Consider the following 15,098-nt stretch of genomic DNA (forward strand, 5'->3'; position numbering starts at 1 on the left):
TCCATGGAAAGAAATGAGTAAGAAAGACTTATATGACTTATCTCCGTTAGCTTTTCTGACCCCTGATTCTTCCCTTCTGCTTTAACTCTTTTTTCTCTCTGTCCCTTACCTTCATGCTGTATTCAAATTGATAATCACTGTGTACCTACTGCACCCAAGATGTTGTAGGGTTGGAATACAAAGAGGAAGTTTCTTATCTCATAGAGAAAATAAGATACACAAATAATTATGATACAAAGAATAATGGTACAATTGATTATCATCAGGCATCACTCCCTATCAAAGAGAGTAAAAATCTAAGAAGCTAATTTACAATGAGGTTCTGTTGACAAAGTGTGGCAGGTGGGAATGATATATTGGTGGTGATGGTGAGATAGAGGTTTTTATGCCTCCATTTTGAATATTAATTTTCATAAAACACATATTTCTGTATAATTTGTTATTGTGGGCATTCCTGAGTCCTGAGAATTGATGTCATTTTATTTTATTTTATTTTATTTTGAGACAGTCTCACTCTCTGTTGCCCAGGCTGGAGTGCAGTGGTGTGATCTTGGCTCACTGCAACCTCTGACCCCTAGGTTCAAACGATACTTGTGCCTCAGCCTTCTGAGTAGCTGGGATTACAGGCGTGAGCCACCACACCCAGCTAAATTTTTTTGTGTGTTTTTAGTAGAGATGGGGTTTCACCATGTTGATCAGGCTGGTCTGTCTTGAACTCTTGACCTTAAATGATCTGCCCGCCTCGGCCTCCCAAAGTGCTGGGTTACAGGCATAAGCCACCGCACCTGGCCTGATGTGATTTTATATTATTATTGGTTATTGCTCATATAGGGAAACTATTGATTTCTGCATTGTCTGTCTTGAATCTTGCCATGTCATTAAATTACTTTATCTGTGCAAACGGGTTTTTAATTTTTGTAAGATTTTTAAAAATTAGATTTTTGCAAATAGTAACAGATTTACAGATTTTTCTTCCAGGGTATTTATCTTTACTTTTCTTGTCTTACATTGACTGTGTACAATGTTGAAAGATAGTGGTGAGAGAATACACATACTTCTTTTGTTTCTCTAACAGAAATGCTTCACCATTAAACGGATGGTTGTTTTAGTTTTCTGATTCTCTTTACCAAATTAAGAAAGTGTCATTTTCTTTAGAGCTTACTGAAGACACTAAAAAAAAATATGTATGGGGCCAGGCGCGGCGGCTAAAGCCTGTAATCCCAGCACTTTGGGAGGCCTAAGCAGGCAGATCTCTTGAGGTCAGGCGTTCGAGATCAGTCTGGCCAACATGGTGAAACCCCGTCTCTACTAAAAATACAAAAATTAGCTGGGCATGGTGGTGCGCGCCTGTAATCCCAGCTACTCAGGAGGCTGAGGCAGGAGAATCGCTTGAACCTGGGGAGTGGAGGCTGCAGTGAGCCAAGATCACACCACTGCACTCCAGCCTGGGCGACAAAGTTAGATCCTGTCTCGAAAAAAAAAAAGTGTGGCTGTTGCATTTTTTAAAAATATGCTGGAAACTGTTGAAGTGATGATATGATTTTCCTTCCTTAGTCTGTTAATGTGGTGAATTATGGTAAAATACACTAATAATATGTTAGGATGTATTTTACTTGGTTACGTTGTATTCTTCTTTTAATACTTTATTGAATTCAATTTGCTAATATCTTATTAAGGATTTTTATGTCTATATTCATAGGTGAGATTTGTCTACAATTTCCTCTCCCCATTGCCCCATTACTGTTTTATCTAGCTCTGGAAAGAGAGCAATACTAGTTTTGTTAACTAGCATGCTCTTTCTCTTTTTCTGTGAGCTGGAACAATTTAAATGACTCTGGAATGATCTGTCCTTTGTAAGTTTGATAGAACAGTTTGAGACTGGTACCTTTTAGGGGTGGAAGATAGATAACATTTTCAATTTAATTTGTAGTTAGTGGCATATTCAGATTTTCTAACTCTTCTTTAATCAATTTTGATAAATCACATTTTTGCTGTAGTAGACATCAGTAATTTTTGCCTGTGTAACAACATCATGTCCCTTAGGAAACTGCCCCTACATTCACAGTGATCCCATGATGGCTGCCACCCAAGGTGATCTGTTGCCTACTTAATTATAGGGATGGAGAAGACAAGATCCGAGGAGGGATAATCAGAATCTTTTCTTGGATTGATATATAGATATCAGAGGGGAAATGTTTCATTTTTCTATTTTGGTTCTTAAACTAGTAAGATGTGAGTTTGTGGCTATAGATGGCTGTGTTTCCCGGACACATGTAGAAAACCTGTCTGAGCTGAGCCAAGAGATGTAGTGGGAAAGAGTGAGAGAATTCTTAAGACACTGATACACTGGACCCAGCCAGGTATGGAGTGAGCACAGCCCTCTGGGCTTCTCAGGTTTTTGAGTCAATGTGTCATTTTTTTTTGCTTCATCTAATTTGAATTGAGTACTTGTTATTTGCATCCAAATCAGTACTAATAAATTTCTTAAATTTTCCAATTTATGTGTAGAAATAATATAGAAAACTCTTTTACAATTTAAAAAATATCTTCTGTAATTGCAGTTAAATCTCCTCTCTTGTTCCTAATATAGTATTATTTGGGAAAACATTTAAACATAGTTTTATTTGGGAAAATAATACTATATTAGGAATAAGAGAGGATATTTCTCTCTTATTCTCTTTCTCTGTTGCTTGATCATAGTTAACCATCCTTTTTGGTTCTTTAAGAACATGGATTTGTTAATCAAGACTTCAGTGATTTTGTAGGTATTTTGTTTTCTTCATTTGGGTTTCTTTTTCCTTCTATCTATTTTTATATGACTTTTCAATTTCATATAGTTTAACCATTTTTATTTTATTTTTGGAGACAGAGTCTCGCTCTGTCACCCACGCTGGAGTGCAGTGGTGCGATCTCGGCTCACTGCAACCTCCTCCTCCTGGGTTCAAGCAACTCTCCTGCCTCAGCCTCTCGAGTAGCTGGGACTACAGGCACACGCCACCACGCCCGGCTAATTTTTTGTATTTTAGTAGAGATGGGGTTTCACCATGTTGCCCAGGCTGGTCTCAAACTCCTGAGCTCAGGCGATCCGCCTGCCTTAGCTTCCCAAAGTGCTAGAATTACAGGCTTGAGCCACCGTGGCTGGCCTCCATTTTTATTTTTATATTACTTTATAGATAAGCATTTTTTAAAATTTTGTGTTTAGTTTATTTCAAAATTTATTATTTCCTAAAACGTACATTCAAGGCTGTAAGTTTTAATGTTCCTCTGCATTCTTTATCCATATTGCAGAACTTCTGAGGCATAATGCTCTTATGTTATTTATTTCTAAATTATTTGTAATTTCTCCTTGCATTTTCTCTTTGGCCCAAAAGTTATTTAGAAGGATATTTTAGGATGTCTAACTCTATAGATTTAAAACATTTAAACATTTTTTGAATAATTTTGTTTTTAGAACAGTTTTAGATTTACAGAAAAATTACAGTGATAGTACAGAGATCCAATATAGCCTACACCTAGTTTTTCTTATACACATCTTACATTACTATGGTACATTGGTTACAATTGGGTTTTTTGGGAGAGTGGGTTTTTGGGATAATGGTAAAGTGCCATTTTCATCACATCATATCAAGGATGTGTACTATTAACACAACTTATCACTGTTGATGTGAATCTTGACCACCTGACTGAGGTAATGTGTCAGATTTCTTCACTATAAAGTTACTCTTTTTTCTCTCCTTTTCGTGCTGTACTCTTTGTGATTTTCTGTTTGTTTGTTGTTGTTTCTTAGATACGGAGTCTTGCTGTCTTACCCAGGCTGGAGTGCAGCAGTTTGTTCATAGCTCACTTCAGCCTGGAACTCCTGGGCTTAAGAGATCCTCCCACCTCAGCCTCTCAAGTAGCTCGGACTACGGGTGTGCACCACCATGCCTAACTTTAAAAAGTTTTTTCTTTTTTGTAGAGATGGGGTCTCACTATGTTGCTCAGGCCGGTCTCAATTTCCTGGCCTCAGGTGATCCTCCTGCCTCCCAAAGTGTTGGGATTACAGGCATGAGCCACCATGCCCAGCCCATATTGTAGTCTTTGGAAGGAAGTCACTCTGCACAGCCCATATTTAAGGAGTGGAGAATTATGATCCACCTCCTTGAGAGCAGAATTTCTAAGTAATTTATTTGGACTTTTGTGAGGGATATCTGTCCCTTCTCATTCATTTATTTATTCAGTGCTTTATTTATCATTGTGAACTTATGGATATTTATTTTCTATACTACTGCATATATTTGTTGCTTAATTTGTTCTAGTTTTGTCCATCTGAATCTCTTTCTGCTGCTTCCTATGACCCTTTGACATAGTCTCTGTCATGGTAGGCCTCTTTTCTTTGTGTTTTGAGCACTTCCTTACTTTCTGGCATGAGAAGATGCTTCAGGTTCAACTTGTGTATTTCTTATTACAGTCCTAGAATCAGTCACTTTTTAAAGGAGCAGTACTTCCCTTTTATTGGAGAGTGGCGTTGAAAACCAACACCTGAGTGCTATCCCAACACTTCAAATGGCTTAATACAACAATAGATCTTTATTATTCATTATTATTATTATTTTTCTCTGTCTCTCTCTCTCTCTATATATATATAAATATATGTATATTTTTTAATTTTATTATTATTATACTTTAAGTTTTAGGGTACATGTGCACAACGTGCAGGTTTGTTACACATGTATACATGTGCCATGTTGGTGTGCTGCACCCATTAAGTCGTCATTTAGCATTAGGTATATCTCCTAATGCTATCCCTCCCCGCTCCCCCCACCCCACAACAAGCCCCAGTGTGTGATGTTCCCCTTCCTGTGTCCATGTGTTCTCATTGTTCAATTCCCACCTATGAGTGAGAACATGCGGTGTTTGGGTTTTTGTCCTCGCGATAGTTTGCTAAGAATGATGGTTTCCAGCTTCATCCATGTCCCTACAAAGGACATGAACTCATCGTTTTTTATGGCTGCATAGTATTCCATGGTGTATATGTGCCACATTTTCTTAATCCAGTCTATCATTGTTCGACATTTGGGTTGGTTCCAAGTCTTTGCTGTTGTGAATAGTGCCACAATAAACACATGTGCATGTGTCTTTATAGCAGCATGATTTATAATCCTTTGGGTATATACCCAGTATTGGGATGGCTGGGTCAAATGGTATTTCTAGTTCTAGATCCCTGAGGAATCGCCACACTGATTTCCACAATGGTAGCACTAGTTTACAGTCCCACCAGCAGTGTAAAAGTGTTCTTATTTCTCCACATCCTCTCCAACACCTGTTGTTTCCTGACTTTTTAATGATCTCCATTCTAACTGGTGTGAGATGGTATCTCATTGTGGTTTTGATTTGCATTTCTCTGATGGCCAGTGATGGTGACCACTTTTTCATGTGTTTTTTGCCTGCATAAATGTCTTCTTTTGAGAAGTGTCTGTTCATATCCTTTGCCCACTTTTTGATGTGGTTGTTTGTTTTTTTCTTGTAAATTTGTTTGAGTTCATTGTAGATTCTGGATATTAGCCCTTTGTCAGATGAGTAGGTTGCAAAAATGTTCTCCCATTCTGTAGGTTGCCTGTTCACTCTGATGGTAGTTTCTTTTGCTGTGCAGAAGCTCTTTAGTTTAATTAGATCCCATTTGTCAATTTTGGCTTTTGTTGCCATTGCTTTTGGTGTTTTAGACATGAAGTCCTTGCCCATGCCTATGTCCTGAATGGTATTGCCTAGGTTTTCTTCTAGGGTTTTTATGGTTTTAGGTCTAACCTGTAAGTCTTTAATCCATCTTGATTTAATTTTTGTATAAGGTGTAAGGAAGGGATCCAGTTTCAGCTTTATACATATGGCTAGCCAGTTTTCCCAGCACCATTTATTAAATAGGGAATCCTTTCCCCATTTCTTGTTTTTGTCAGGTTTGTCAAAGATCAGATAGTTGTAGATGTGTCGCATTATTTCTGAGTGCTCTGTTCTGTTCCATTGGTCTATATCTCTGTTCTGGCACCAGTACCATGGTGTTTTGGTTACTGTAGCCTTGTAGTATAGTTTGAAGTCAGGTAGCGTGATGCCTCCAGCTTTGTTCTTTTGGCTTAGGATTGACTTGGCAATGCCGGCTCTTTTTTGGTTCCATATGAACTTTAAAGTAGCTTTTTCCAATTCTGTGAAGAAAGTCATTGGTAGCTTGATGGGGATGGCATTGAATCTATCAATGAACTTGGGCAGTATGGCCATTTTCACAATATTGATTCTTCCTACCCATGAGCATGGAATGTTCTTCCATTTGTTTGTATCCTCTTTTATTTCATTGAGCAGTGGTTTGTAGTTCTTGAAGAGGTCCTTCACATCCCTTGTAAGTTGGATTCCTAGGTATTTTATTCTCTTTGAAGCAATTGTGAATGGGAGTTCACTCATTATTTGGCTCTCTGTTTGTCTGTTATTGGTGTATAAGAATGCTTGTGATTTTTGCACATTGACTTTGTATCCTGAGACTTTGCTGAAGTTGCTTATCAGCTTAAGGAGATTTTGGGCTGAGACGATGGGGTTTTCCAGATATACAATCATGTCATCTGCAAACAGGGACAATTTGACTTCCTCTTTTCCTAATTGAATGCCCTTTATTTCCTTCTCCTGCCTGATTGCCCTGGCCAGAACTTCCAACACTATGTTGAATAGGAGTGGTGAGAGAGGGCATCCCTGTCTTGTGCCAGTTTTCAAAGGGAATGCTTCCAGTTTTTGCCCATTCAGAATGATATTGGCTGTGGGTTTGTCATAGATAGCTCTTATTATTTTGAGATACGTCCCATCAATACCTAATTTATTGAGAGTTTTTAGCATGAAGGGCTGTTGAATTTTGTCAAAGGCCTTTTCTACATCTATTGAGATAATCATGTGGTTTTTGTCTTTGGTTCTGTTTATATGCTGGATTACATTTATTGATTTGCATATATTGAACCAGCTTTGCATCCCAGGGATGAAGCCCACTTGATCATGGTGGATAAGCTTTTTGATGTGCTGCTGGATTTGGTTTGCCAGTATTTTATTGATGATTTTTACATCAATGTTCATCAAGGATATTGGTCTAAAATTCTCTTTTTTGGTTGTGTCTCTGCCAGGCTTTGGTATCAGAATGATGCTGGCCTCATAAAATGAGTTAGGGAGGATTCCCTCTTTTTCTATGATTGGAATAGTTTCAGAAGGAATGGTACCAGCTCCTCCTTGTACTTCTGGTAGAATTCGGCTGTGAATCCATCTGGTCCTGGACTTTTTTTGGTTGGTAAGCTATTCAGAGCATGTTATTGGTCTATTCAGAGATTCAACTTCTTCCTGGTTTAGTCTTGGAGGGTGTATGTGTCAAGGAATTTATCCAGTTCTTCTAGATTTTCTAGTTTATTTGTATAGAGGTGTTTATAGTATTCTCTGGTAGTTTGTATTTCTGTGGAATCGGTGGTGATATCTCCTTTGTCATTTTTTATTGCGTCTATTTGATTCTTCTCTCTTTTCTTCTTTATTAGTCTTGCTAGAGGTCTATCAATTTTGTTGATCTTTTCAAAAAACCAGCTCCTGGATTCATTGATTTTTTGAAGGTTTTTTTGTGTCTCTATTTCCTTCAGTTCTGCTCTGATCTTAGTTATTTCTTGCCTTCTGCTAGCTTTTGAATGTGTTTGCTCTTGCTTCTCTAGTTTTTTAATTGTGATGTTAGGGTGTCAATTTTAGATCTTTCCTGCTTTCTCTTGTGGGCATTTAGTGGTATAAATTTCCCTCTACACACTGCTGTGAATGTGTCCCAGAGATTCTGGTATGTTGTGTCTTTGTTCTCATTGGTTTCAAAGAACATCTTTATTTCTGGCTTCATTTCGTTATGTACCCAGTAGTCATTCAGGAGCAGGTTGTTCAGTTTCCATGTAGTTGAGTGATTTTGAGTGAGTTTCTTAATCCTGAGCTCTAGTTTGTTTGCACTGTGGTCTGAGAGACAGTTTGTTATAATTTCTGTTCTTTTACATTTGCTGAGGAGTGCTTTCCTTGCAACTATGTGGTCAATTTTGGAATAGGTGTGGTGTGGTGCTGAAAAGAATGTATATTCTGTTGATTTGGGGTGGAGAGTTCTGTAGATGTCTATTAGGTCTGCGTGGTCCAGAGCTGAGTTCAATTCCTGGATATCCTTGTTAACTTTCTGTCTTGATGATCTGTCTAATATTGACAGTGGGGTGTTAAAGTCTCCCTACTATTGTGTGGGAGTCTAAGTCTCTTTGTAGGTCTCTGAGGACTTGCTTTATGAATCTGGGTGCTCCTGTATTGGGTGCATATATATTTAGGATAGTTAGCTCTTCTTGTTGAATTGATCCCTTTACCATTATGTAATGGCCTTCTTTGTCTCTTTTGATCTTTGTTGGTTTAAAGTCTGTTTTATCTGAGACTAGGATGGCAACCCCTGCCTATTTTTGTTTTCCATTTGCTTGGTAGATCTTTCTCCATCCCTTTATTTTGAGACTATGTGTGGCTCTGCACGTGAGATGGGTTTCCTGAATATAGCACACTGATAGGTCTTGACTCTTTATCCAATTTGCCAGTGTGTGTCTTTTAATTTTAGCATTTAGCCCATTTACATTTAAGGTTAATATTGTTATGTGTGAATTTGATCCTGTCATTATGATGTTAGCTGGTTATTTTGCTCATTAGTTGATGCAGTTTCTTCCTAGCCTGGATGGTCTTTACAGTTTGGCATGTTTTTGCAGTGGCTGGTACCGGTTGTTCCTTTCCATGTTTAGTGCTTCCTTCAGGAGCTCTTTTAGGGCAGGCCTGGTGGTGACAAAATCTCTCAGCATTTGCTTGTCTGTAAAGGATTTTATTTCTCCTTCACTTATGAAGCTTAGTTTGGCTGGATATTAAATTCTGGGTTGAAAATTCTTTCCTTTAAGAATGTTGAATATTGGCCCCCACTCTCTTCTGGCTTGTAGAGTTTCTGCCGAGAGATCAGCTGTTAGTCTGATGGGCTTCCCTTTGTGGGTAACCCGACCTTTCTCTCTGGCTGCCCTTAACATTTTTTCCTTCATTTCAACTTTGGTGAATCTGACAATCTTGTGTCTTGGAGTTGCTCTTGTTGAGGAATATCTTTGTGGCGTTCTCTGTATTTCCTGAATTTGAATGTTGGCCTGCCTTGCTAGAGTGGGGAAGTTCTCCTGGATAATATCCTGCAGAGTGTTTTCCAGCTTGGTTCCATTCTCCCCGTCACTTTCAGGTACACCAATCAGACATAGATTTGGTCTTTTCACATAGTCCCATATTTCTTGGAGGCTTTGTTCGTTTCTTTTTATTCTTTTTTGTCTAAACGTCTTTCTCACTTCATTTCATTCATTTCATCTTCCATCACTGATACCCTTTCTTCCAGTTGATCGAATTGGCTACTGAGGATTCTGCATTCATCATGTAGTTCTCATGCCGTGGTTTTCACCTCCATCAGGACCTTTAAGGACTTCTCTGCCTTGGTTATTCTAGTCAGCCATTCGTCTAATTTTTTTTTCAACGTTCTTAACTTCTTTGCCATGGGTTCGAACTTCCTCCTTTAGCTCGGAGTAGTTTGATCTTCTGAAGCCTTCTCTCAACTCGTCAAAGTCATTCTCCATCCAGCTTTGTTCCGTTGCTGGTGAGGAGCTGCGTTACTTTGGAGGATGAGAGGTGCTCTGATTTTTAGAGTTTCTGGTTTTTCTGTTCTGTTTTTTCCCCATCTTTGTGGTTTTATCTACCTTTGGTCTTTGATGATGGTGACATATAGATGGGTTTTTGGTGTGGATGTCCTTTCTGTTTGTTAGTTTTCCTTCTACCAGTCAGGACCCTCAGCTGCAGGTCTGTTGGAGTTTGCTGGAGGTCCACTCCAGACCCTGTTTGCCTGGGTATCAGCAGCGGTGGCTGCAGAACAGCGGATATCGGTGAACCGCAAATGCTGCTGCCTGATCGTTCCTCTGGAAGTTTTGTCTCAGAGGGTTACCCGGCCGTGTGAGGTGTCAGTCCGCCCCTATTGGGGGATGCCTCCCAGTTAGGCTACTCGGGGGTCAGGGACCCACTTGAGGAGGCAGTCTGCCCATTCTCAGATCTCATGCTGCATGCTGGGAGAACCACTACTCTCTTCAAAGCTGTCAGACAGGGACATTTAAGTCTGCAGAAGTTACTGCTGCCTTTTGTTTGTCTGTGCCATGCCCCCAGAGGTGGAGCCTACAGAGGCAGGCAGGCCTCCTTGAGCTGTGGTGGGCTCCACCCAGTTTGAGCTTCTGGGCCACTTTGTTTAGCTACTGAAGCCTCGGCTATGGTGGGCGCCCCTCCCCCAGCCTCACTGCCGCCTTGCAGTTTGATCTCAGACTGCTGTGCTAGCATTGAGTGAGGCTCCATGGGCGTAGGATTCTCTGAGCCAAGTGCGGGATATAATCTCCTGTTGTGCCGTTTGTTAAGCCCATTGGAAAAGCGCAGTATTAGGGTGGGAGTGATCCGGTTTTCCAGGTGCCATCTGTCACCCCTTTCTTTGACTAGGAACGGGAATTCCCTGACCCCTTGCACTTCCCGGGTGAGGTGATGCCTCGCCCTGCTTCGGCTCATGCATGGTGTGCTGCACCCACTGTCCTGCACCCACTGTCCGGCATTGTCCCGTGAGATGAACCTGGTACCTCAGTTGGAGATGCAGAAATCACCCATCTTCCGTGTCGCTCACTCTGGGAGCTGTAGACTGGAGCTGTTCCTATTCGGCCATCTTGGCTCCACCTCTATTTATTATTTATTTAGAGATGGAATTTCACTCTTGTTGCCCAGGCTGGAGTGCAATGGCGTGATCTCGGCTCACTACAACCTCCGCCTCCTGGGTTCAAGTGATTCTCCTGCTTCAGCCACGAGTAGCTGGGATTACAGGTGCCTGCCACTATGCCTGGCTAATTTTTTTGTATTTTTAGTAGAGACAGGGTTTCACAATGTTGGCCAGGCTGGTCTCCAACTCCTCACCTCAAGTGATCTGCCGGCCTCAGCCTCCCAAAGTGGTGGGATTACAGGTTTAATCCACCACACCTGGCTAACCATAGATCTTTATTTAGCTCAGGAGTCTATGGGATTCAGCTGACCTGGACTGAATTCACCTGGGCTTGCTTATGCATCTGTGGTGAACTGCCAGGCAACCAGGTGGCTCTGCTGATCTTAGCAAGGTATGTTTACACTTCCAGGGGTTGGCAGGCTGTTTGCTGATCTATGATGTCTCAGTTGGAGTGATTGGGATTACTGGGGTGGTTTAGGGTAGCCAGGGTGCAAGAGAAGGAGCAAGTCTGAACATGCAAGCATATTTTAAGTCTTTACTTATGTCACATTTGCTAATGTAACATAGGTCAAGTTACGTGACTGATTTTGCAGTCATTGTGTGAGAGCATTACAAAGTTCAAAGTTGCAAGGCAAAGATGTGAATAAGAGAGATGTATTAGTTAGGATTCATCAGAGAAACAGAATCAATAGGATATATGTAGATATGGAGATCTAAATCTTGATATAGACAGATATATAGGAAGAGATTTATTCTGAGGGATTGGCTCACATGATTATGTAGGTTGAGAAGTCCCACAGTCTGCCATCTGCAAGCTGGAGACCAGGAAAGTCAGTGGTGTAATTCCAGCCCAAACCCGAAGGCCTAGGAACTAGGAATGCTAATGTCTCAGGGCAGGAGAAGATGGATGTCTCAGTTCAAGTAGTGAGCAAATTCACCTTTCCTCTGCCTTTTTGCTCTATTCAGGCCCTCAATGGATTGAATGATGCCCACTCACATTGGTGAGGGTGATATTTACTCAGTCTACTGATCCAAATGCTAATCTCTTTTGGAAACATCCTCATGGACACACCCAGGAAAAATGTTTTACCTGCTACCTGGGTATCACGTAGCCCAGTCAAGTTGACACATAAAATTAATCATCACAGGACGGATGAATAACTAAGGTCATTTTTTAAACAATTGATCACAGTCTTCCCTTTTGGATAAAATTATTCACATATTTCTCATATGCAGAATATACTAAAGCCCATCCCAGACCCCCCAAAAGTGTCATCCAATCATGGAAACAGGTTTGAAATCCAGGTTCTTGTGAGCTACGTCAAGCCAAGATATGACTTCTCTTGACACAGAGACTTGTAAACTAAAAAGATAAGCTATGTGGTTTCAGACACCCAATATACAGTGATAAAACAGAGACAAGATAAATGAGAACTTTATTGCATTGGGAATTCCAGTCGGGAACTCCAATTCCCAAAGTGGAAGAATGAGGGGCACATAGCAATCATAGGTTCACAGTAGTTCTGAAATCCTACTGGGCAAATTGCTGGGTCTCTCTCCTCTAAGGGAGTGAAATGTTTTTAAATTAGGGCCCAGCTCTGCTACTTGGGAAAGGCTTGCCAGCCTATTCATCACAGCTGTTGGTTCTGCCCTCTGATAGCCCTCCATACTTTCCATTGCCCTACTTGACCTCTTCTGAAGAGGGCATTAAAAGGTATGCCCTTTGAACAACTTTCTCTGTTTGCTTCTTGTCCAGAGAAAGGTGAGGTCCTTGAGGACTTCATATGTTTTGAACAATCTCTGTCCCTTCGAGTTTTGGCTGGTGGCTACTTTTGCTTTCTGTCTTCTAAGTTACCCCAGGCTGTCCTGTTGCTAAATATTTCGCTACTACAGAATGCTGTCACAATTTCTCAGGCCACTTCTAAAAATTCCCTCACCATTTTTTTAGCCTCCATCTACTGCTTCATCTCAAAGTTAAATGTCACAAGTTTTAGGTTGTGTTACACCAGTACCACACTTTTTAGTATCAATTATCTATTGACACAATCACGTTTCAAAACAGAATGACACAAATCTCAGTAGCATGCAAAACAAACATTTGTTTAATTCAAGAGTCTATGTAGCTTTGCTAATTCAGGTTGAGCTTAGGTGATCTTGGCTGGGCTTGCCAAGCCAAGTGGACACAGAGTCCACTGGCCATTGGCTCATCTAGAATGGCCCTGGCTGGGATTATCTTATTTTTTTCTACTGTTCTGTCCTTTGCAAAATTTCTCTACTATCTATATATTATTTTAAAATGGGAAAATATGTGATGAGTATATTTTCGGGAAAAAAATTACACTGTCTTAGGTGGCCATTCTTCTCCTTGTGAGCCAGGCACTGCTCTAATTTTGCCAGAAGACTGAAGAGATGTCAGAAAAGAACTGTTTGAACCATCAGGCCAAGCTGCCTCTGAAAGGACTTTGGAATATGTTGTTGTTGGAAGAAAGAAAACAGAGGGAAAATCAAGCCTGGTGGTACATGAGAAGAGGCATGTAATGAAAGCTGATGTTAGACCTATTTTTAGAAGAGTTCATGGCTCTCAAGAAAACGGAGTCAATGGTGACATTTTACTGAGAATGATAACAAAACCAGCATGACAGGAACCTGGAGAGAAGACTACTGGAACTTTTAGGCCCTCCAGAAAACCGTATGGCAGACCCAGAGCATAATACATTGTAGCAGTTGTAATTGTGATGCAATGTGGCAGTTACAATGTGATATCTTGGGCTCCCTCACAGGGTCACAAGTGGAGTGGGGTTGTTTACAGCTTTGTCACACACTCCCTTTTAGAGGCAGTTGGGTTAGGCCAGGCAAAAGGAGAAAGAAGTCTAGGTCCCTCTAGGAAACTAGATGCAACCTCAGCTCTCCACCTAACTGGAATCCCTTTTAGTTCCTAGAACCAATTTCCAGTTCACTGGGCCTGTTACATCTTTGACATCTTTGACTACTTGGCCTGACAACTCCCCTGCTCTACTATTTCTTCTCTCCTCAAATCCCTTCTTCAGCCCTCAGTCTTGTCTTCCTCCTGCGGCCCCTCATCCCACACTCAGGGGTCATGGGACCGAGCCGTGGGCTTTTGCCTTTATCTTACTACCACCTGCTGGGGCTCAGAACTTAGAAGCATCAATCCATTTTTAGAAGTGCCCTCTGCTGGTTGTTGACAACTCAACCTAAAAATTAAAGCCTAGACAGAGTTTCAGTTTGTTTAATAGAAAAGTGGGGTGGAGGCACTAGCAGATAGGATAAAACACAGAAGAATATGTTGCTATTATAAAAGCTTTTAAATTCCGCTGAATTGTGTTTGGTGTACTGTGGCATGCAGTAAAGCAGTGGTTCTCCATCAGGGGAGATTTTTCCATTCCAGAGAACATTTGACAATATCTAGAGACATTTTTGGTTGTTACAGCTGGTAACTGAGAGGCAGGGATGGTGCCACTGGCATCTGGTGGGTAGAGGCAAAGGATGCGGCCCAACGTCCTACAATGCATAAGGGATCCCCCCACCCCCAATAAAGAATCATCTGACTCCATTAGAGTGGTCCTGACTTAAATAGGCCAGAGAAAGCTGAAATTAGACTAATGTAATTTTGGGGTTTGGCCGGGCACAGTGGCTGCTCGGGAGGCTGAGGCAGGAGGATCACTTAAGGCCAGGAGTTTGAGGCTGCAGAGAGCATTTGTCATGCCACTGCATTCCAGCCTTGGTGACAGAGTGAGACCTTGTCTCAGGAGAAAAAAAAAAAAAGTTTTGAGGTTCGAAGCAATTAGAGATTAGTTGAGGGCTTTTCAGCTTTGGTTGCCCATGAGATGACCTGGGAAGCTTTAAAATACTGATGCTTGGGTCCGATCTCTAGAGAGTTTGATTTAATTTAATTTCTGGCTTGAGGTGTGGCCTGGGCATCAGGATTTTTAAATCTGCCCAGGTGAATTCAAGATACAGCCAAAGCCGGGAAAAATTGATGTAGTTCAACCCTCATTTTTTGGATGAGGAATGAGGTTCTGGAGGATATGGTCTCACAGCTGCAGAGTGGCAGAGCTGGAACTAGTATATGGTCTCTTGGAGAAAAGAAGATACGTGGCCCTTGCTTGACTGTACACCACACTTCCAAAGCAAAAACTGTGACGATATCTTCTTATGACTTTTTGATAAAAACTCTAAAGCTTTTTTTATATTCTATTGTTTCTTTAAATAATATTTTCAATAATTTTTTTTTCTAAAAAATGACACCTGCCAAAAATTCAAGCTTAGGGAAATGCAA

General features: G+C 40.8%; 2 annotated features.

The window, feature by feature from the left end:
- Positions 13,732-13,891: an enhancer, noted in NCBI's record as "active region_28153". NCBI's record gives its function as "activates an Ori minimal core promoter by ATAC-STARR-seq in GM12878 lymphoblastoid cells {active_cell/tissue: GM12878}" and the evidence as "EXISTENCE:reporter gene assay evidence [ECO:0000049][PMID:35858748]".
- Positions 13,912-13,971: an enhancer, noted in NCBI's record as "active region_28154". NCBI's record gives its function as "activates an Ori minimal core promoter by ATAC-STARR-seq in GM12878 lymphoblastoid cells {active_cell/tissue: GM12878}" and the evidence as "EXISTENCE:reporter gene assay evidence [ECO:0000049][PMID:35858748]".

The sequence above is a fragment of the Homo sapiens genome, chromosome 9, assembly GCF_000001405.40.
Source record: "Homo sapiens chromosome 9, GRCh38.p14 Primary Assembly".
In the NCBI taxonomy this organism is placed as follows: domain Eukaryota; kingdom Metazoa; phylum Chordata; class Mammalia; order Primates; family Hominidae; genus Homo; species Homo sapiens.